Here is a 22,512-nt window from a genome sequence, read left to right as displayed (position 1 = left end):
CCGCCCCTGCCCCAAATTGGATGCTTCCTGCCCCAGGCCAGCTCCTTGGTGGGCCGGGACCCCTTTCCCACCCATTACTGCCTCTCTAATGGGGGCCTCACCCCCATTAGTGAGGCCGCCCACTGCAAGCCTGGGAGTCCCAGGTGTTCCCAGCCCACACTCCCCCTGCCGAGTGACCGTTAAAGATGAATAATGAGCCTGGCAGGAGGGACCTGGGAGGTGGTGATGAGGGGCTGGCCCAGCGGGTGAGGGCCAGGGAGGCCCCGAAGCCTCCTCCATCTGGCTGGTCCCGGAGGCACCTGGGAAGCCCATTAGGAAGGCGTCGCGTCCTGGAAGCCACCTGAGCGCCTGGTGTGGCTCTGATTTCACCTCCTTAATGCCTGCCTTTGCTCTTAGCACCTGCCCGCTACAGGGACTGCCCCCCACCCCCACCCAGCTGAAGTCATCAGAGTTAGCAAATAAAAATCCAAGACATCCAGTTAAGTTTGGATTTCAGATAGATCATGAATCACGGCTTGGCGTAAGTATATCCCATGCAATTCTTGGGATATACTTACAGCATCATTCATTCCTTTTTTTTTTTTTTTTTTTTGAGATGGAGTTTTGTTCTGTTGCCCATGCTGGAGTCCGGTGGCGCGATCCTGGCTCACTGCAACCTCCACCTCCCAGGTTCAAGCGATTCTCATGCCTCAGCCTCCCAAAGTGCTGGGATTATAGGCATGAGCAACTGCACTGGTCTGGAGTGGATCTTTTTTTTAATTTTTTTTTTTAATTTTTTTGAGACAGAGTCTCGCTCTGTCGCCCAGGCTGGAGTGCAGAGGCACAATCTCAGCTCACTGCAACCTCTGCCTCCCGGGTTCAAGTGATTCTTCTACCTCAGCCTCCTGAGTAGCTGGGATTACAGATGCACGTCACCACGCCCAGCTAATTTTTGTGGAGTGGATGTATTTTAATATCTCACCATCTGCACGAGGTTTCCACAGCCCACCAGCCCTGTCCCCGCCCCCTCCTTGACCCTTCCCTGGCTCAATGAGGGTGTTTTAGGTCCCCAGCAGGTCACTGGCACAGCAGGCATCTCTTGGAATTTGCACAAAAAGACCCAAAGTTACTGTAACTCTGGAAACCTCTGGAGAGGTCCCTAGGGGAGAGTGAATGAGGGGCCGCATGCCCGCCTCCGCCAAGGACTCATCGCTCAGGGTCTCTTTCATCTCCCCTGGCTTTCAGGGAGACCTCCAGGTGAGAACACACTCCCTGAATCCCAGGTTCGAGTCCTGACTCTGCTGCTTTTGAGTTTTGTGGCTATCAGCCTCCCTTTTTCTCGGTGCCTTGGTTTCCTCACCTGCAAAATGGGGATAAATCACAATGCCATTACTGATAGCAGCTGTCGGGGTTGTTGAGAGGACCACGTGCATTGATTTCTTCAAGGAGCTTTGTCCGGCATACAGCGCTCACTTAAGTGATGGCCGGGGCCCCAGCCTCCCTCCTGGCCCAGGGGGAGGGGCTGAGCGGGAAGTGGAGGTTAATTTTAGCCCTGATGACACCCGCTGGCCGCCTGCCTTGTCCAAACATCCCCAGCCAGGCGTGAGGTTCAAAGTGTCCCCCCACCCCCAGCCTCTGACATCCAAGGAGCCTGTTTATTCATTCTCGTCTGCGGCAGCATTCTTTGCCTGCCTGTGCCTGCCACCCGGCCTCCTCCATCTCCAGCCCTGCGAGGTCCTGCCCTGTGTCACTGGGGGTGAGGACTACCTCACCTGCAGATTCCCCTGAGGCAGGCTGTAATCTCTGGGGTGGTCGGTGGGGGGTGGGGAAGGGGCAGGGGGAGGGTCACTCCTGCCCCAGAGTCCAAAGATCTTCAGTCTTCGTTTATAATTCTCCAAGTGGGAGTTCAAGCTTCCATCACAGACAAGGACATTTATTCAGCACCTGTTTACTGAGTGCCTACTGGGTGCCAGGTCATACTGGGGACCCAAGCCCTGCCCCATGAGCCGCCCAATCTGGGGAAGACACTGACAAACCAAGAAATAAACAAGATCTTTTTTTTTTTTGAGACGGAATTTCACTCTTGTTGCCCAGGCTGGAGTGCAATGGCACAATCTCGGCTCACCACAACCTCCACCTCCCGGGTTCAAGTGATTCTCCTGCCTCAGTCTCCTGAGTAGCTGGGATTACAGGCGTGCACCACCACGCCCGGCTAATTTTGTATTTTTAGTAGAGAGAGGGTTTCTCCATGTTGCGGGGAGTGTATGGAGACGCCACCTTGGGAAGAGATGCGCCAGAATTTGCAGTCCTCTCCCTCCCTGTTGGAGTACCCTGGAGGATAGAAATTTTTCCCTACCCGGAGTCTCAGAATGTTCCAAAGACCTCAACTGGTCTCAAACTCCCAACTTCAGGAAGTCCCCCCACCTTGACCTCCCAAAGTGCTGGGATTATAGGCCTGAGCCACCGCGCCTCACCAATTTTTTTTTTTTTTTTTTTTTTGAGACGGAGTCTCTTGCCCAGGCTGTAGTGCAGTGGCGCGATCTCAGCTCACTGCAACCTCCGCCTCCCAGGTTCGTGCAATTCTTGAGCCTCAGCCTCCCAAGTAGCTGGGATTACAGGCGCTCACCATCCCGCCCAGCTAATTTTTCTATTTTGAGTAGAGACAGGGTTTCACTGTGTTGGCCAGACTGGTCTCGAACTCCTTACCTCGTGATCCACCCACCTCAGCCTCCCAAAGTGCTGGGATTACAGGCGTGAGCCCCTGTGCCTGGCCTATTTATTTTCGCTTATTTATTTATTTATTGAGTGAGTGAGTGAGACAGAGTTTTGCTCCGTCGCCCAGACTGGAGAGCAGTGGCGTGATCTCATCTTACTGCAACCTCCACCTCCAACCTCCACCTCCTGGGTTCAGGTGATTCTCCTGCCTCATCCTCATGAGTAGCTGGGATTACAGGCACCCACCACCATGCCCAGCTCATTTTTTGTAAGGCTCTGCCCTTGTTCTGAAGTCAAATCTCAACACTGTCTCCCTCTGGGAGGGGGAGTGACCAGAGGCTACAGCTGGGCTGAGGGACTGAGTGGCTGCAGGTGGATACCAAATATAAATTGAGGTCTTTGGAACATTCTCAGAGTCTGGGTAGGGGAAAATTTCTACTCTTCAGAGAACGCCAACAGGGACAGAGTGGACCGTAACTCCTGGTGCATCTTCCCAAGGTGAGTGGCATCTCCATACACTCCCTGCAGGGCTGGCCCAGGTGCCCAGGTCGCTGGCTCTACTGGCTGTAATTTTTGCCGATGGAGAGACAGGTGCTTAGAAACCTTGAAAACATCGCCTGAAAACAAACCAAGAAAATTATGCTTTTTGGCCCGGTGCGGTGGCTCACTGCTGTAATCCTAGCACTTTGGGAGGCCAAGACAGACTGATCACGAGGTCAGGAGATTGAGACCATCCTGGCTAACACGGTGAAACCCCATCTCTACTAAAAATACAAAAAATTAGCTAGGCGTCGTGGCGCGTGCCTGTAATTCCAGCTACTCGGGAGGCTGAGACAGGAGAATCACTTGAACCCAGGAGGCGGAGGTTGCAGTGGGCTGAGATTGTGCCACTGCACTCCAGCCTGGGCAGGCGACAGAGGGAGACTCCGTCTGGAAAAAAAAAAAAAAAGGAAAGAAAATTATACTTTTCACCTCCAGGTTCCAACAGACCACCTCCTAACCGTTTTCGTTCTCGGAAATACCTTCATTGGGCCGGGTGTGGTGGCTCACGCCTGTAATCTCAGCACTTTGGGATGCCGAGGCGGGCAGATCACTTGAGGTCCGGAGTTCGAGAACAGCCTGGCCAACATAGTGAAACACCATCTCTACTTAAAATACAAAATTTAGCTGGGCGTGGTGGCGGGCATCTGTAATCCCAGCTACTCGGGAGGCTGAGGCATGAGAATTGCTTGAACTCGGTAGTGGGAGGTTGCAGTGAGTCGAGATCGCACCACAGCACTCCAGCCTGGGCGATGGAGCAAGACTCAGTCTCAGAAAGAAAGAAAGAAAGAAAATACCTCCATTAGCTTTTCTGATTCTAAAATTGCCACTCGCACACTTCACAAAACCTTTCCAGAATGAGAGAAAGGCCTCTTTGTTCCCCGGCCCCATGTATTCCCTGGAATTTTCTCTCCCCGGGCAGGGAGGTAAATGCTATTGTTATTTTTTCACACACAAGGTTTTGCAATGGGCTTTATTTCCACTCCACAATAGATGGCCCCACAGCTTTTATTTCTAGAAATTGGAAAATGAAGCGTGTCCAGCCCCCGCCTCTTCACCCACCACAGGCTGAAATTTAAGCTGCATGAACCCAGCTGGGCCTGGGTACCAGGGGTGGGCAGACCTCAGCGTGTTGGTGCCAGGGGACCCGGGGGTGAGGCCAGGGTCAGGTTTCTAGGGGGTGCCAGGTTTCTGTCACCGTCACCTGGGGCTTCCCGCACTCCCTGTCTGTTTAGTGGCCCCAGCACCATGTAGATGAGCAGGGAGAGGCTGAGTTCTTACAAGTATTACAGGAGGGGAAACCGAGGCCCGCAGAGGGCCAGGGACCCAGGCCAAACATTCCAGCCTGTAGAGGGGGTACGCAGAGACCCTGTGGGGCGGTGGGAGGATCAGCGTGACCTTCCAGGTCACCTCAACCTCCTGAAGAAGGTGCCGGCAGTGGCTCCACTCTACAGAGGAGGTGGCTGACGCCCAGAGAAGTTGAGGAACTCATCCAAGGCCACACAGCTGCCAGAGGTGAAAGTCGGTTTTCTGAAGATCTCAGGGTCAAGAACTCCAAAGTCAGGCAAGTCCCCCATAGAGCCCTGCTCCACCACTTAGGGGCTGCAGGTGGCTTCTGACTGTAAGTGAGGATATCTGGAACATTCTAGTGTTGGGGGAAATTGCTGCTCTCTGGAGAATGCCATGGGGGACCTGGTGGTGCAGGGTGGTGGTGACTCCCAGGTGCTATCTAAGCCTCGGTTTCCCCATCTGTACAGTGGACATGCAGAGGTGCCTGTGATGGCTCCCCCAGGCCCAGGTAGAAGGGTGGAGGGGCATAGGGTGGGGAAGGTGTGGGGGGCCTGAAGAGTCTCTGCTAAGCCCCCTGGTGACTCCGGGCCTGAGCCAGCCTTGCTGGGCCCATCACTCACCTGCCACACACACCACCCACCTGGGCCCCTCTCCCCACCACCTGGCTGCAAGCCAGGGGTCCTGGGAGGGGGATGGGGCCCTCGGCAGGCCAGGCCAGGGCTTCCTAACAGGCTGGGGCAGGCCCAGTCCCCAGGGGGTAAGAGGTGTGGGGACAGGCTGCTCTGTCCCCTGATGCCCCTGGAGCCCCCGTGGTCTCCGCCTCTCCCTGAGCTGATGTCAGAGTGAACAGCTCCCTTTCCCAACTTCTCTTTCTCTCCCTCTGGAATTTCCTCTGAGGCTTAGAGGGACATGGAAACCCTCCTTGGGTTCCACAAGGGCAGAAGACCAGCCACCTGGCCAACATTGGGGGACCCTGGCCTGCCCCCTCTGGAACACCAGCACTGCCCTCAACCCCCCATTGTCTCCCCATGTGCCCCAGATCTCACATGTGGTTCATGGTGCACCCAGCCCAGCCTATGGGGCCTTCTCCCTCCTCCTGAGCGGCAGCTGCCCTTGGCTCCCAGCCCTTAGGCCCCAAGGGGAGAGAAATTTCCAGCAGGCTGACAGCTTTATCACCCACCCAGCCCAGGCTGAGGGAGGAGCTGGGGTGTCCAATGAAGACCAGGACCCCAACGAGGGGCACAGATGGCCTCACCGCACCCCCCAAGCAAGTCTCAGCTCATCTGAGCCAGAGGGAAGAGATCCTCGCGGCCTGAGCCTAGAATCAGGGGCACGGGTGGTTGGAGGAGCCAGTAGAAAGGATGATCTGGCTGGGAGGGCAAGAGAGCCCCTATCTGGGGAGGCTCCCTGGAGGAGCTGTTTTCACCGAGCCCTGAAGGATGACTGGGAATTAAGCAGGAGGCAGGGGGCAGAGAGTACAGCTGTCCAACTGAAGACAGCCTGGTGCGATTGAGACTCCCAGTGACTTGAGTAGTGAGCGCCCTCTCTCAGGACCTGTCTTCACATCCACAGGACAGCTGTGTGGGATGGAAGCGTTGCCGGTCCAGGCTTGGCTGGGGCTCCAGGACAAAGTCACACCAAGACTGAGAGCCCCATGAGTTATGTTTTTTTGGGTTTTTTTCTTTTTGTGATGGAGTCTCACTCTGTCACCCAGGCTGGAGTGCAGTGACCCAATCTTAGCTCACTGCAAACCTCTGCCTCCCGGGTTCAAGTGATTCTCCCGCCTCAGCTTCCAGAGTAGCTGGGATTACAGGTGTGCACCACCACACCCGGCTAATTTTTGTATTTTTAGCAGAGACGAGGTTTCACCATGTTGGCCAGGCTGGTCTCAAACTCCTGACCTCAGGTGATCTGCTCACCTCGGCCTCCCAAAGTGCTGGAATTATGAGTGTGAGCCACTATACCCAACTTCTATGAGTTATGTTTTAATCAGTCACAGACAATGCCCCCAGCGAGGACATGAACAGAGAACAGACTCAGGTCATCCCTTCTGGAAATGGCTTGCCTGGGAGACCGCAGTCCCTGGCCCAGCCCTGGCCAGTCGATCCTCCCCACTGGCCTGGGCCTGGCTGGGAACTGAGACGGTGAAAGTCTGGGGCAGCATGAAACGGCCTCCTGGAAATTATTTCTAGAACAGGGAAGTCGTGATACCTGAAGGTGAAATGTGGGCTCTGTCACCTCTGTACCCAGCTTGGGAGTGACAGAGTTTAAGGACATCCTCTGTCAAAGACATCCTTCCACATCCTTTCTCTTCTGCATTCCAGGAAACTTACCTGGCTCCTTGGACTTCTACACTGCCCTGCAGGAGTGGGCGGGGAAAGGGAGTGGCTTTGAGGCACACAGAAGGGCTTGGTGAGGCCACCAGAGTGGGGCCTGTGCCTAGTGTGTCAGAAGAGAGCATCTCAGGACGGGTGTGGGGGCTCCCGCCTGTAATCCCAGCACTTTGGGAGGCTGAGGTGGGCTGATCACTTGAGGTCAGGAGTTCGAGACCAGCCTGGCCAACATGGTGAATCCCCATCTCTAGTAAAAATACAAAAATTAGGTGGGCATGGTGGCGGGTACTTGTAATCCCTGCTCCTGAGGCTGAGACAGGTGAATCTCTTGAACCCAGGAGGCAGAGGCTACAGTGAGCCAAGATCATGCCACTGCACGCCAACCTGCACTCCAGCCTGGGCAACAGAGCAAGGCTATCTCAAAAAAGAAAAGAGAGCATCTCAAACCACACATCAACATGGTAACCCCTCTGCTTGAAGCCTCCAATGGCTCCCTATTGCCCTGGTGCTGAACACCCCATGGCTGACCGTGGCCTGGCCTCTGCGACAGCTCTGCCTCTTCTCCCATGGTGAAGACCCAGCCTGCTGAGACTCCCCCCAGTTCCTCCAACGTGCCTGGACCTCTGCTCCCTCGGGGCCTTTGCATAGGTTGTTCCCTCTACCCAGAATGCTTTTCCCTCCCCGTTTTGTTTAGAAGGCCACAGTTTTAATTGTTAGTTCCCTTATAAGGCTCGCGTATTGTCGGTGACTCACCCTCCAGCTCCTTGCAGGAGTGCTTGGCCTGGCACTTAGTAAGTGCTTAGGAAATATTTGTGGTTCTGTGTTTTTTTTGTGAGACAGAGTCTTGCTCTGTTGCCCAGGCTGGAGTGCAGTGGCTTGATCTCAGCTCACTGCAGCCTTTGCCTCCTGGGTTCAAGTGATTCTCATGCCTCAGCCTCCTGAGTACCTGGGATTACAGGCATGCACCACCATGCCCGGCTAATTTTTTTTTTTTTTTTTTTAGTAGACATGGGGTTTCACCATGTTGCCCAGGCTGGTCTTGAACTCCTGACCTCAGGTGATCCGCCTGCCTCGGCCTCCCAAAGTGCTGGGATTACAGGTGTGAGCCACTGTGCCTGGCCTTCAGGAAATATTTGCTGATGAACTAAGTGGGAGGTGGGATCTGGTGGGAAGGAAGGCGGGAAGGTGGAAATTCTGCTCACTTCCCCATTCCCACCTCCCAAGGAACCCCTGGTGTCCCTATGGAACCCACTTTGGGAACCAGTGGTTCAGGTCAGCCTTTTCCCTTTGTGCTCAAAGCCGCATTGCATTGAGGCCACCGGTAGGACCAGGGTCATGACCTAGGCCTCCAAATCCCTGCACCCTTTCCAATTCTACAGCAGGGATTAGAGGAGACACACAATTTGCTTTCAGAGGATGTCCCAGCTCCAGGACAGGACACACTGGGTCACCTGATGGCAGGTGCAGTGGTTGGACAGAGCCTGGCTTCAGCTCCAGGTATACTTCCTCCTTCCTGCTGCTACCTGGTCTGGCCTCTTCCACGTCCTGAGAATCCAGCTGGTACTCTGTCCTCAGCCTCCTGGGAGGTGCTCTCATCCTGGGCATGCTGCCCCCGCCATCCAGGGAGAGAGTCTTGGGGCACCTTTATCCCCAACCCAGAAATCACGGGAGACCTCGTAGGAAAGGCGTCCTGGCTCCGTTTGTTCCCACCTCAGCGCCGGTCCTGTCTGCTGTGATTCAGGATGCAGCTGGATGGGCACAGAATCCCCGGAGAAGGGTCTGCAGGCTGTGCAGTGGCCTGGAATTTGGCCAGCAGGCCCTAGTCGCAGGCAGGGGTCTTTCTGGGTGCTGCATGTAGTGGGATGGAGGAGGGGATGGAAGGTTCTGGCTGATTCGCCAAACCAGGAGGAACTGGGCATGCTTTTTTTGGGGGGGACGGAGTCTCACTCTGTCACCCAGGTTGGAGTACAGTGGCGCCATCTTGGCTCACTGCAACCTCCACCTCCCTGATTCAAGCAATTCTCTGGCCTCAGCTTCCTGAGTAGCTGGGATTACAGGTGCCCACCACCATGCCTGGCTAATTTTTTTTTTTATTTTTAGTAAAGACGGGGTTTCACCATGTTGGCCAGGCTGGTCTTGAACTCCTGACCTCAGGTGGTCCACCCGCCTCAGCCTCCCAAAGTGCTGGGATTACAGGCATGAGCCACTGTGTCCAGCCCAGGCATTCTTTTTCTAGAAAAAAATATCTTGGGTTCAACTTGGGTGGGACCTCAGCCCTGACCACCCCTGAATTACCCATTTTCCCCAATCTACCCTTCTTTTTTTTTTTTTTTTTTTTTTTTTTTTTAAAATTGAGATGTCGTCTCGCTCTGTTGCCCAGGCTCCTGTGCAGTGGTGTGATCTCAGCTCACTGCAACCTCCACCTCCCAAGTTCAAGCAATTCTCTGTCCTTGGCCTCCCAAAGTGCTAGGATTACAGGTGTGACCCACCACACCTGGCCCCAATCTACCCTTCTATACCTCGTTAAAATATACTTCACTGTCTCCTAAGAGGGGCTGCCATGAACCCAGGGCCCATGTAATTCCATCTTAATATCAATTACTTTATAAAAATTAACCTGTGCCTGGCTGGGCGCAGTGGCTCACACCTGTAATCCTAGCACTTTGGGAGGCCGAGGCGGGCGGATCATGAGGTCAGGAGATCAAGAGCATCCTGGCTAACACGGTGAAATCCCGTCTCTACTAAAATACAAAAAATTAGCCGGGCCCTGTAGTCCCAGCTACTCGGGAGGCTGAGGCAGGAGAATGGCGTGAACCCAGGAGGCGGAGCTTGCAGTGAGCCAAGATAGTGCCACTGCACTCCAGCCTGGGCAACAGAGCGAGACTCCGTCTTAAAAATAAAAATTAACCTGTGCCTGAGGCTCTAGAGTCCAATGGTACAAAGCAGTAATTGGTCAAAGTTCAACCTCCCTCCCACTCTGGGCTCGGACTGTGCCCTGAGGGCTTGTGTTTTGAATCTCTTTCCAGAACCTTGGCATGAGCTTGGGACTGGGTGTCTGGATCACTTCATCACACCCAGGTCACCTGCTGCAAGGTTAAGACCAACTTGGCCCAACAGAGAAAGCTGGCAACCCTACATCATTTTAAAACAGCTTCATCGGCTGGGCGTGGTGGCTTATGCCTGTAATCCCAGCACTTTGGGAGGCCAAGGCGGGTGGATCACTTTAGGTCAGGAGTTCGAGACCAGCCTGGCTAACGTGGTGAAACCCCGTCTCTACTAAAAATACAAAAATTAGCTGGGCATTGTGGTGTGTGTCTGTAATCCCAGCTACTTGAGAGGCTAAGGCAGGAGAATCACTTGAACGCAGAGGTGGAGGTTGCAGTGAACTGAGATTGTGCCACTGCACTCCAGCCTGGGCAACAGAGCAAGACTCAGTCTCAAAAATAAATAAACGGTTTCATCAGGATGTAATTCACATACCATACAGTGAGCCAACTTAAGGTGTACAAGTAAATAAGTCAATGGTTTTTGGTGTGTTACCTTTTTTTTTTTTTGAGACGGAGTCTCACTCTGTCGCCCAGGCTGGAGTGCAGTGGTGCTATCTCAGCTCACTGCAAGCTCCGCCTCCCGGGTTCACACCATTCTCCTGCCTCAGCCTCTCAAGTAGCTGGGACTACAGGCGCCCGCCACCACGCCTGGCTAATTTCTTTTTGTATTTTTAGTAGAGGTGGGGTTTCACCATGTTAGTCAGGATGGTCTCAATCTCCTGACCTGGTGATCCGCCCGCCTTGGCCTCCCAAAGTGCTGGGATTACAGGTGTGAGCCACCGCGCCCAGCCACCTTATTTTTAAATTGTAATTCCATATATCCATACATATATGTATAACATAAACTTCACCATTTAGGCTTTTTTTTTTTTTTTATGAGAGAGAGTTTTGCTCTTGTTGCTCACTGCAGCCTCTGCCTCCTGGGTTGAAGTGAGTCTTCTGCCTCAGCCTCTTGAGTAGCTGGGATTACAGGTGTGCACCACCATGCCCAGCTAATTTTTATATTTTTAGTAGAGACGGGGTTTCACCATGTTGGCCAGGCTTGTCTCGAACTCCTGACCTCAGGTGATCCTCCCGCCTCAGCCTCCCAAAGTGCTGGGATGACAGGCGTGAGCCACCGCACCTGGCGCATTTAGGCATTTTTAAGCATACAATTCAGTGGCATCGCGTGCAGTGTTGTGCAACCATCACTCCAGCATCTTTCCAAAACTTTCATCACCCCAAACAGAAACTCTGGACCCGTTAAACAAACATTCTCCCCTCTCCAGCCTCCAGTCACCTCTGTTCTACTTCCTGTCTCTGTGGATCGGCTCGTCCTGGACATTTCCCAGAAATGGGATCACACACTGTGTGGCATTTTGTGTCTGGCTTCTGTCATTGAATGTGATGTCCTCAGCCTTCATCCACGCTGTGGCCTGTGTGGGAGCCTCGCTCCTTTTCTTTTTTTTGAGACAGAGTCTTGCCCTGTTGCCCAGGCTGGAGTGCAGTGGCGCAATCTTGGTTCACTATAAGCTCTGCCTCCCGGGTTCAAGCAATTCTCCTGCCTCAGCCTCCCAAGTAGCTGGGATTACAGGCATGTGCCACCATGCCGGCTCTTTTTTTTATATCTTTAGTAGAGACAGGTTTTCTCTTTTTTTTTGAGACGGAGCCTCACTCTGTCACCCAGGCTGGAGTGCAGTGGCACAATCTCGGCCCACTGCCAGTTCCGCCTCCTGGGTTCACACCATTCTCCTGCCTCAGCTTCCCAAGTAGCTGGGACTACTGGCGCCCACCACCATGCCCAGCTAATTTTTTTGTATTTTCCATAGAGACTGGGTTTCACCGTGTTAGCCAGGATGGTCTTGATCTCCTGACCTCGTGATCTACCTGCCTCGGCCTCCCAAAGTGCTGGGATTACAGACATGAGCCACCTCGCCCAGCCTTTTCATGGCTGAGTGATATTCCATTGTGTGGATGGATCACACTAGGTATATTTGTTCTTCTATTGATGGACATCTGGGTAGTTTCTACCTTTGGGCTGTTTGTTCTGTTGTGAGTCAGGCTGCTGTGACCATGGGTGTACAAGTATCTGTTTGCGTCCTTTTGTTGTTAATTCTTTGGGGCTTCTACCTAGGAGGGAGATTGCTGGTGATGTGATAAGTATCTCTCAGGCTTTTCAAGGAAGCACCAAACTGTTTTCTACCCCGAATGTAATTTACAATTTCCCAGCAATAGGCCAGGCACAGTGGCTCACGGTGACTCCATCTCAAAAAATAATAATAATTTTAAAAAGAAAGAAAGAAAGAAAACTTCCCAGCAACCACATTAAAAAAGAATACCAGGAAATTTAATGTTTTTCTTTTTCTTTTTTTTTTTTTTTTTTTTTGAGATGGAGTTTAGCTTTTGTTGTCCAAGCTGGAGTGCAGTGGCGCAATCTCAGCTCACTGCAACCCCCGCCTCCCGGGTTCAAGCAATTCTGCCTCAGCCTCCCGAGTAGCTGGGATTATAGGCATGTGCCAGCACCTGGCTAATTTTTTGTATTTTTAGTAGAAACAGGGTTTCGCCATGTTAGCCAGGCTGGCCTCGAACTCCTGACCTCAGGTGATCCACCCAATATTGCTGGTATTACAGACGTGAGGCACCACATCCGGCCAATTTAATTTTAATGATATATTTTATTTCACCCAATACATCCAAAGCGTTATTTCAATATGTAATTAATGTAGAAAATCATTAATGAGCTACTTCACATCCTTTCTTTCATACTAAGAAATAACAATCGTATGGAAATTTGACACCATAAGCACCTCTCTTTTTAGGCACTAAATTTTGGGTAGCAATGGTGACATGGTTTCTACCAAAACAATACTGTTGTGTTTGGTGGGAAAAAAAAATTTATTTAGGCCGGGTGTGGTGGCTCACACCTGTAATCCCAGCACTTTGGGAGGCCGAGGCAGGTGGATCATTTGAGGCCAGGAGTTCAAGACCAGTCTGACCAACATAGTGAAACCCTGTCTCTACTAAAAATACAAAAATTAGCCGGGCATGGTGGTACCCACCTGTCATCCCAGCTACTCAGGAGGCTGAGGGACAAGAATCACTTGAATCTGGGAGGCAGAGGTTGCAGTGAGCCAAGTCTCAAAAGTAAATTTAAAAAAAAAAAAAAAAAAAAAAGGCTGGGCATGGTGGCTCACACCTGTAATCCCAGCACTTTGGGAGGCCCAGGCAGGCGGATCACGAGGTCAGATGGAGACTATCCTGGCTAACATGGTGAAACCCCATCTCTACTAAAAACAAAAAAAAATTAGCCGGGCATGGTAGCGGGCACCTGTAGTCCCAGCTACTTGGGAGGCTGAGGCAGGAGAATGGCATGAACCCGGGAGGTGGAGCTTGCAGTGAGCCGAGATCATGCCACTGCACTCTAGCCTGGGCGACAGAGGGAGACTCCGTCTAAAAAAAAAAAAATTAGCTGGGCATGGTGGCGCTTGCCTGTAATCCCAGCTCTTCTGGAGGCTGAGGTGGGAGGATCATTTGAACCTGGGAGGTTGAGGCTTCAGTAAGCTGAGATCATGCTACTGCACTCCAGCCTGGGTGACAGAGGAAGATGCTGTGTTATAAATTTATTATTGTTATTATTTGAGACAGAGTCTCATTCTGTCACCCAGGCTGGCGTTCAGTGGTGTGATCTCCGCTCATTTCAAGTGATTTTCCTGCCTCAGCCTCCCAAGTAGCTGGGATTACAGGCACCACCACCACATCCGGCTAATTTTTGTATTTTTTAGTAGAGACAGAGTCTTGCCATGTTGGCCAGGCTGGTCTTGAACTCCTGACCTCAGGTGATCTGCCCGCCTTGGCCTCCCAAAATGCTGGGATTACAGGCATGAGCCCTCACGCCTGGCCTATAAAATTTTTTTTAAATATGCTGTTCAGTTTTTAGATGTACATTTAAAACTGTAAACAGTCCACCCTGGCATCCAAGCCTCACCTCACCCATCACAAAGCATGGTTCGGGTTCCCTCCTCCTCCTCCGGTCGCCCTCTTAGCCTCTTTGAAGGTTTTTCTTCTCAGGCTTCCCAGACCCAGTGCCTACACTCTGAGGGCCCTGGGCTCCCTCCAGTTCCGTGCTGGGTGTCTCCAGAACAAGCGGGGTTCCATGTCTTCCCTGAAAGCCTGCTCCTCCCTGGGGCCCCAGATCCCCCCACTCCCTGCCTGGTCAGCCCCTGCCTCTCCTGAGTCTTCACACCTGCCCATTCTCCCTCCTATCCTCCCCACCTCTCCCCAGCCTCAGCCTCTCCCCCAGGACGGGGACAGTGTGTCTGAGGGCCAGAGGGGTTAACTTTGAGTGTCTGTTGATTGAAAGACCAAGTGAATAGAAAATCAAGCCTAAACTGGAAGCCCTGAGCACTTCCTTTTCTTTGTCTGCAAACTGCTCAGGTGTCTCACCCCGCCAGGCTTTGGCACTGGCTCTTTCCTCATCCAACGGACACCCTTTCCCTCAACTCCTACCTTATCTGGAGAACTCTTATGTTACCTGCAAAACCTAATCCCATCGTACCCTTCCCTGTCAGAGTTATAAATTCAATCCTCAACTCAGGGGTACTGGGGGCATTTATGACAAGCTGTGTCATAAATTATAACAGCTTCTCTCAGGACACGTGGCCAGGAAGTGGGTGATCTTCCTTAATGACCCTCACTCCTCTCTCCTCTCTTCCCAGCTACTCTGACCCATGGATCCCCTGGGCCCAGCCAAGCCACAGTGGCTGTGGCGCCGCTGTCTGGCCGGGCTGCTGTTTCAGCTGCTGGTGGCTGTGTGTTTCTTCTCCTACCTGCGTGTGTCCCGAGACGATGCCACTGGATCCCCTAGGCCAGGGCTTATGGCAGTGGAACCTGTCACCGGGGCTCCCAATGGGTCCCGCTGCCAGGACAGCATGGCGACCCCTGCCCACCCCACCCTACTGATCCTGCTGTGGACGTGGCCTTTTAACACACCCGTGGCTCTGCCCCGCTGCTCAGAGATGGTGCCCGGCGCGGCCGACTGCAACATCACTGCCGACTCCAGTGTGTACCCACAGGCAGACGCGGTCATCGTGCACCACTGGGATATCATGTACAACCCCAGTGCCAACCTCCCGCCCCCCACCAGGCCGCAGGGGCAGCGCTGGATCTGGTTCAGCATGGAGTCCCCCAGCAACTGCCGGCACCTGGAAGCCCTGGACGGATACTTCAATCTCACCATGTCCTACCGCAGCGACTCCGACATCTTCACGCCCTACGGCTGGCTGGAGCCGTGGTCCGGCCAGCCTGCCCACCCACCGCTCAACCTCTCGGCCAAGACCGAGCTGGTGGCCTGGGCGGTGTCCAACTGGAAGCCGGACTCGGCCAGGGTGCGCTACTACCAGAGCCTGCAGGCTCATCTCAAGGTGGACGTGTACGGACGCTCCCACAAGCCCCTGCCCAAGGGGACCATGATGGAGACGCTGTCCCGGTACAAGTTCTATCTGGCCTTCGAGAACTCCTTGCACCCCGACTACATCACCGAGAAGCTGTGGAGGAACGCCCTGGAGGCCTGGGCCGTGCCCGTGGTGCTGGGCCCCAGCAGAAGCAACTACGAGAGGTTCCTGCCACCCGACGCCTTCATCCACGTGGACGACTTCCAGAGCCCCAAGGACCTGGCCCGGTACCTGCAGGAGCTGGACAAGGACCACGCCCGCTACCTGAGCTACTTTCACTGGCGGGAGACGCTGCGGCCTCGCTCCTTCAGCTGGGCACTGGCTTTCTGCAAGGCCTGCTGGAAGCTGCAGCAGGAATCTAGGTACCAGACGGTGCGCAGCATAGCGGCTTGGTTCACCTGAGAGGCCGGCATGGGGCCTGGGCTGCCGGGACCTCACTTTCCCAGGGCCTCACCTACCTAGGGTCTCACTAGTCGGGGGATTTACCTACCTGGGGCCTCGGCTGCCTGGGGCCTCGGCTGCCTGGGGTCTCACCTGCCTGGGGCCTCACCTGCTGGAGTCTTTGGTGGCCAGGCATGTGACTTACCTGGGATTTCACTTGCCGGGCTTCACTGCCAGGAGCCTCCCCTGCTGGGGACCTTGCCAGCTGGGGCTGGGGATGGTGCCTACTGGGGACCTTGCTTTCTGGAGGCTGCACCTACTGAGGATCTCGGCTGTTGGGGACTTTACCTGCTGGGACCTGCTCCCAGAGACCTTGCCACACTGAATGTCACCTGCTAGGAGCCTCACCCGCTGGGAGGCACAGGGCCCAAGGGAGCTGGATGTGTTGCCCAAGGTGTGCAGGGCAGGTCAGGGAAGGGCAGGGTCCCCTAAGGAGGAGGGCGAAGGGTATGTGTGTGACCATCAGCAGTGGTGTGCACATGGCTGGGGGACACTCGGTTTGACCGCCAGCGGATGGGTGTCACAAATGCATCACTATGGGTGTGACCTCGGCGTGACTCTGATAGTGCCTGTGGATGTGTTGCGATGCCTCACCCTGGAGGGCACTGGGCCCTGAGAACGGGTGCCCTTGAGGCCCTGCCCCCGGGCGATGGTGCAGGCTGGTTTGCTTGTGGTTTTATTGCTGTTGTTAACCACCCATGAGGGGTGCAAACAGATAATGCTGTTAACATTTTCAGGCGAGAATGCTTCAAGGAAAGCTCCTGTGTCCCCCCTCACTCTAGAACAGTGGTTCTCACGCAGGGCGATTCTGTCCCCAAGGGCACTTGGCAATGTCTGGAGACATTTTCAGTTGTCACAACCAGGGGAGGAGGATGAGGTCACCTAGTGGGTAGAGGCCAGGGTTACTCCAAACCCCCTACAATGCACGAGTCGGGGCCCTTACAACCAACAATGATGGTTCCAAATGTCCAGGGGCAGAAAACCCTGTTCTAGAACTTTCTATGACCCTGGAGGTCAAGCCTCTTGGGGGAGGCGTTCAGATCCCTCGGGGGTCCTCTCCTTCAGCTGGCTCCCTGGGGTGGGCTCTGGCACCCACCCAGAAGTGAAAGTCTTTTTTCTGAAGGTCTCAGGTCAAGAACTCCAAAGTCAGGCAAGCCCTGCATAGAGCCCTGCTCCATGACTTAGGGGCTGCAGGTGGTTTCTGACTGTAAATGAGGATGTCCAGAATATTCCAGAACATTCTGGAACATTCTGGCCTTGGGGGAAATTGCTGCTCTCTGGAGAATGCCAAGGGGAACCTGGTGGTGGAAGGTGGTAGTGAATTCCAGGTGCTCTCTGAGCCTCAATCTCCCCATTTGCACAGTGGACATGCAGGCTCTGAGGGCTGAGGAGTGGGGCCCACGCTCTCCAGGAGTGAAGGTGGGCAGGGCTGGGATAAAGGGACCCTCTCTGCCCAGGGTACGGGGTCCAGGGGAGCTGGATGTGTTGCCCAAGGTGTGCAGGGCAGGTCAGGGAAGGGCAGGGTCCCCTAAGGAGGAGGGCAAAGGGTATGTGTGTGACCGTCAGCAGTGGTGTGCACTTGGCTGGGGGACACTCGGTGTGACCGCCAGCGGGTGGGTGTCACCAACGCATCACTGTGGCTGTGACCTCAGCGTGACTCTGATAGTGCCTGCAGATGTGTCTCGATGCCTGCCTGTGGCTCTATGTGGGTGCTCGTAGGTGGCGGTGATTGTGAGTGTGAGACGGAATGTGTGGCCTGGGAGTGAGGCTTTGAGTGTTGGACGGAGCAGCGGCCCCTCTGAGTGTGCTGGGCTCTCCAAGTCTGTGTGTGTCTCTGTGTAACTGCGCAAGGCTGTGTCTGCATGGACCTGTGTCCTTGGGTGTGGTGAAGTGGGCTGTGTGGGGACACATGTGGGACTCTTAAGCTGTGTCTGCAAGTGGCTGTGACCGTGTGTGTGGCCTTGTGGATGGGCAGGGAGAGGTGGGCTTCTTAAAAGTATTACAGGAGGGGAAACTGAGGCCCACAGAGGGCCAGGGACCCAGGCCAAACATTCCTCCCTGCAGGGGGGTACGCAGAGACCCTGCGGGGGTGGTGGGAGGATCAGCATGACCTCAGCCTCCTGAAGAAGGTGCCGGCAGTGGCTCCACTCTGTAGAGGAGGTGGCTGATGCCCAGAGAAGTTGAGGAACTCACCCAAGGCCACACAGCTGCCAGAGGCGAAAGTCGGTTTTCTGAAGATCTCAGGTCAAGAACTCCAAAATCTGGCAAGCCCTGCATAGAGCCCTGCTCCACCACTTAGGGGCTGCAGGTGGCTTCTGACTGTAAATGAGGACGTCTGGAACATTCCAGAACATTCTGGAACATTCTGGGCTTGGGGGAAATTGCTGCTCTCTGGAGAATGCCATGGGGGACCTGGTGGTGGAGGGTGGTGGTGACTCCCCGGTGCTATCTGAGCCTCACTTTCCCCATCTGCACAGTGGACATGCCTCAGAGGTGCCTGTGATGGCTCCCCCAGGCCCAGGTGGGAGGGTGGAGGGGCATAGGGTGGGGAAGGTGTGAGGGGACTGGAGAGTCTCTGTCAAACCCCCTTGTGACTCCGGGCCTGAGCCAGCCTCGATGGGCCCATCACTCACCTGCCACCCACACCACACACCTGGGCCCCTCTCTCCACTGCCTGGCTGCAAGTCAGGGGTCCCAGGAGGGGATCAGGGGCTCACGGGAGGCCAGGCCAGGTCTTCCTAACAGGGTGGTGTGGGGCCAGTCCGCTGGGGGTAAGGAGTTGGAGTGGGGACAGGCTGCTCTGTCCCCTGACGCCCCTGGAGCCCCCATGGTCTCCACCTCTACCTGAGCTGATGTCAGAGTGAACAGCTCCCTTTCCCAACTTCTCTTTCTCTCCCTCTGGAATTTCCTCTGAGACTTAGAGGGACATGGAAACCCTCCTTGGGTCCCACAAGGGCAGAGGCCCAGCCACCTGGCCAACGTTGGGGGACCCTGGCCTGCCCACTCTGGAACCCCAGGATGGCTCCCAACCCCCATTGCCTCCCTGTATGCCCCGGATCTCACATGTGGTTCATGGCGCACCCAGCTCAGCCCGTGGGGCCTTCTCCCTCCTTCTGAGCGGCAGCTGCCCTTGGCTCCCAGCCCTGGGCCCCACGGGGAGAAAAATTTCCAGCAGGCTGGCAGCTGCTCCATCACCCACCCAGCCCAGGCTGAGGGAGGAGCTGGGGGGTCTGATGAGGGCAGAGACCCCAACGAGGAGGTCCTCGTGATCCCCCAATCTGGGCTCTGGGCTCAGCTGTTTGACAGGGAGACCTCACCTGGCACTAGCCTGATGAGCCCTGCTCAGAGAGGGCCAGGGAATCTCTCAGGTCACACAGCAATTTCAAGATAAGCACACACTGTCTCTGGCAATTCGCCGCAGCTCCTCTTCCAGATCTCAGTGGCTGGAGGCTAGTCCAGTTGTGGATCTGATGGCCAAGGGGCCTGGGTTGCAATCCCAATCCCCACCCGCAGCCCTCCCAACTCCTGGCTACATGAACAAGGTGGACTGGGGTTGGATGTTACAGGAGGAGGGAACCAGTTCAAAGGACACAAGAAGTGATTCAGGGTGAGGGCCAATCAGATGTGGGCCGTGAGCTGCCAGGGCGGATCTTGGGGACAGGGCAGGGGCTCCACGGGTGACAGTGCCAGTGCGGTAATGACCACATTTGAGTGGGGTGGGGTGACCTCACCAGGAATCTGTCTTCTGCCCTGCTCTGTCAAAAGGAGCATGTGGCCGGGCACGGTGGCTCATACCTGTAATCCCAGCACTTTGGAAGGCTGAGGTGGGCGGATCACTTGAGGTCAGGAGTTTGAGACCAGCCTGACCAACATGGAGAAACTCCGTGTCTACTAAAATTACAAAAATTAGCCGGACGTGGTGGCATGTGCCTGTAGTCCCAGCTCCTTGGGGGGCTGAGGCAGGAGGATCACTTGAACCTGGGAGGCAGAGATTGCAGTGAGCTGAGACTGGGCGACGGCACTCCAACAGTGCGAGACTCTGTCCAAAAAAAAAAAAAAAAGCATGGGATTCATTTCCAGTCCCTGTAGAGGGACAGGACACGCAGGAAAGGGCAGATGTGGCCAAATTGACCACGATTCCTTAATGACCCAATAAAGTAGGCCGGGCGCAGTGGCTCACGCCTGTAATCCCAGCACTTTGGAAGGCCAAGGCGGATGGATCACGAGGTCAGGAGATGGAGACCATCCTGGCTAACACGGTGAAACCCCGTCTCTATTACAAAAAAATACAAAAAATTAGCCAGGTGTGGTGGCGGGCGCCTGTAGTCCCAGCTACTTGGGAGGCTGAGGCAGGAGAATGGCGTGATCCCGGGAGACGGAGCTTGCAGTGAGCCAAGATCGTGCCACTGCACTCCAGCCTGGGCGACAGAGCAAAACTGTCTCAAAAAAAAAAAAAAAAAAAATGACCCAAGAAAGCATTTACCAACCTCTACTTTCTTGCTGTTGGGGCTTAGGCAGAGTCTGGCCTCAGGTGTGATTGGAGCTCAGCCTGGAGTGTGGACTTGGCCCCCATTGCCATTGCCTGAGGCAGGAGGAGCACCATTGCCTCAGCCAGCCCAGCCTCCCATTGCCTGGTGATCACAACTGTGGAATGGGCAGAGTCCTGTGGCCCTCCGCTAGAGACCTACCCTCGGGTTTCTCACTCCAGCTTCCCTCATCTCTTGCTCTTCTAGGTTTTCTGTCCTCACGAGGCTGCCAGCCCAGCAGGGGAAAGAAGGGACACAGTGTGGCCTGAGCTAGGACAGGGGAGACAGAGGCAGTTGCAGGAGCCAGTGGAAGGAATTGATCTGGCTGGAAGAGGGCCGCTATCTGTGGAGGCTTCCTAGGGGAGCTGTCTGCACCTAAGCCCTGAAGAACGGGAACTAGGCAGGAGGCAGGGGGCAGAGAGCGCAGTTGTCCAGCTGGAGACAGCCTGCTACCTTGGAAACTCCAAGTGACTCAGCAATGAACACCCTCTCTCAGGACCTGTCTTCACATCCACAGGACAGCTGTGTGGGGCGGAAGCCTTGCCCATCCGGGCTTGGCTGGGGCTCCACTCTCGGAGGCATGTGAACCAGAGCAACTCCATCTTGAATAGGAGCTGGGTAAAATGAGGCTCAGACCCACTGGGCTGAATTCCCAGGTGGTTAAGTCATTCTAAGTCACAGGATGAGACAGGAGGTCGGCGCAAGATACAGGTCATAAAGCCCTTGGTGGTAAAACAGGTTGCAGTTGAGAAGCCGGTGAAAGCCCACCCAAACCAAGATGGCGATGAGAGTGACCTCAGGGCATCCTCAAAGCCCACCCAAACCAAGATGGCGATGAGAGTGACCTCAGGGCATCCTCAAAGCCCACCCAAACCAAGATGGTGATGAGAGTGACCTCAGGGCATCCTCAAAGCCCACCCAAACCAAGATGGTGATGAGAGTGACCTCAGGGCATCCTCACTGCCACACTCCCAGCAGCACCAGGACAGTTTACAGATGCCATGGCAACATCAGGAAGTTACCCTATGTGGTCTAAAAAGGGGAGGCATGAGTAATCTCCCCGTTGTTTAGCATATCATCAAGAAATAACCAGCTGGGCACGGTGGTTCAGGCCAGGTGTGGTTGCTCACTCCTGTAATTCCAGCACTTTGGGAAGCCAAGGTGGGTGGATTACCTGAGGTCAGGAGTTCGAGACCAGCCTGGCCAACATGGTGAAACCCCATCTCTACTAAAAATACAAAAATTAGCTGGGCGAGGTGGCGCACGCCTGTAGTCCCAGCTACTCAGGAGTCTGAGGCACGAGAATCGCTTCAACCCAGGAGGTGGAGGTTGCAGTGAGCTGAGATCCTACCACTGCACTCCAGCCAGCCTGGGCGATAGAGTGAGACTCCGTCTCAAAAAAAGAAAAAAAGAAATAACCATAAACGGGCAACCAGCGGCCCTCAGGGCTACTCTATGGAGTAGCCATTCTTTTATTCCTTTACTTTCCTAATAAACTTGCTTTCACTTTACTCTAGGGACTAGCCCTGAATTGTTTCTTACGTGAGATCCCAGAACCCTCTCTTGGGGTCTGATTGGAACCCCTTTCCTCTAACACCAGGACAAAGTGATACCAAGACTGATAACCCCACAAGTTGTTTTAATCAGTCACAGAGAATGCCCCCAGCGAGGACATGAGCAGAGAGCAGACTTAGGTCACCCCTTCTGGAAATGGCCTGCCTGGGAGACTCCAGTCCCTGGCCCAGCCCTGTCCCCTCAATCTTCCCCACTGTCTTGGGCCTGGCTGGGCACTGAGATGGTGGAACCCCAGGCAGCGTGAAGCAGCCTCCTGGAAATGATTTCTAGAACAGGGAAGACATCATACATGGAGGCTGGACCTTAGATTCGGTCGCCCCTGCACCCAGTTTGGGACTGACAGAGTTGAAGGCCATCCTGTCTCAAGGACAGCCTTCCAGATCATTTCTCTTCTCCATTCCAGGAAGCTTATCTGGCTCCCTGGACTTCTCCTGTGATTTACAGGAGAGGGTGGGGAAAGGGAGGGCTTTTGTTTTTTGTTTTGTTTTGTTTTTGTGAGACGGAGTCTTGCTCTGTCTCCCAGGCTAGAGTGCAGTGGCGCAATCTTGGCTCACTACAACCCCCGCCTCCCGGTCTCAAGTGATTCTCCTGTCTTAGCCTCCCAAGTAGCTGGAATTACAGGTTCCTGCTACCGCAC

At 54.5% G+C, this 22,512-nt stretch overlaps 1 protein-coding gene across 1 annotated transcript, besides 2 other annotated features; it reads left to right on the top strand.

Annotated features, from left to right (window-relative positions):
• Positions 11,044 to 11,338: an enhancer, noted in NCBI's record as "tiled region #10376; HepG2 Activating DNase matched - State 5:Enh, and K562 Activating non-DNase unmatched - State 21:Repr". NCBI's record gives its function as "activates a minimal TATA promoter and a strong SV40 promoter by Sharpr-MPRA in HepG2 cells, with weak activation in K562 cells {active_cell/tissue: HepG2 | K562}" and the evidence as "EXISTENCE:reporter gene assay evidence [ECO:0000049][PMID:27701403]".
• On the top strand, positions 11,796 to 16,510 carry FUT5 (fucosyltransferase 5). The gene is made up of 2 exons (NM_002034.2): positions 11,796 to 11,871; positions 14,599 to 16,510. Exon 2 carries the CDS (start codon positions 14,611 to 14,613, stop codon positions 15,733 to 15,735), a length of 1,125 nt encoding a protein of 374 aa, NP_002025.2. The 5' UTR covers positions 11,796 to 11,871; positions 14,599 to 14,610; the 3' UTR covers positions 15,736 to 16,510.
• Positions 20,464 to 20,758: a silencer, noted in NCBI's record as "tiled region #2774; K562 Repressive non-DNase unmatched - State 20:ReprD". NCBI's record gives its function as "represses a minimal TATA promoter and a strong SV40 promoter by Sharpr-MPRA in K562 cells {active_cell/tissue: K562}" and the evidence as "EXISTENCE:reporter gene assay evidence [ECO:0000049][PMID:27701403]".

This window comes from Homo sapiens, chromosome 19 (genome assembly GCF_000001405.40).
Source record: "Homo sapiens chromosome 19, GRCh38.p14 Primary Assembly".
In the NCBI taxonomy this organism is placed as follows: Eukaryota; Metazoa; Chordata; class Mammalia; order Primates; family Hominidae; genus Homo; species Homo sapiens.
This window is presented reverse-complemented; position numbering and strand designations above follow the sequence as displayed.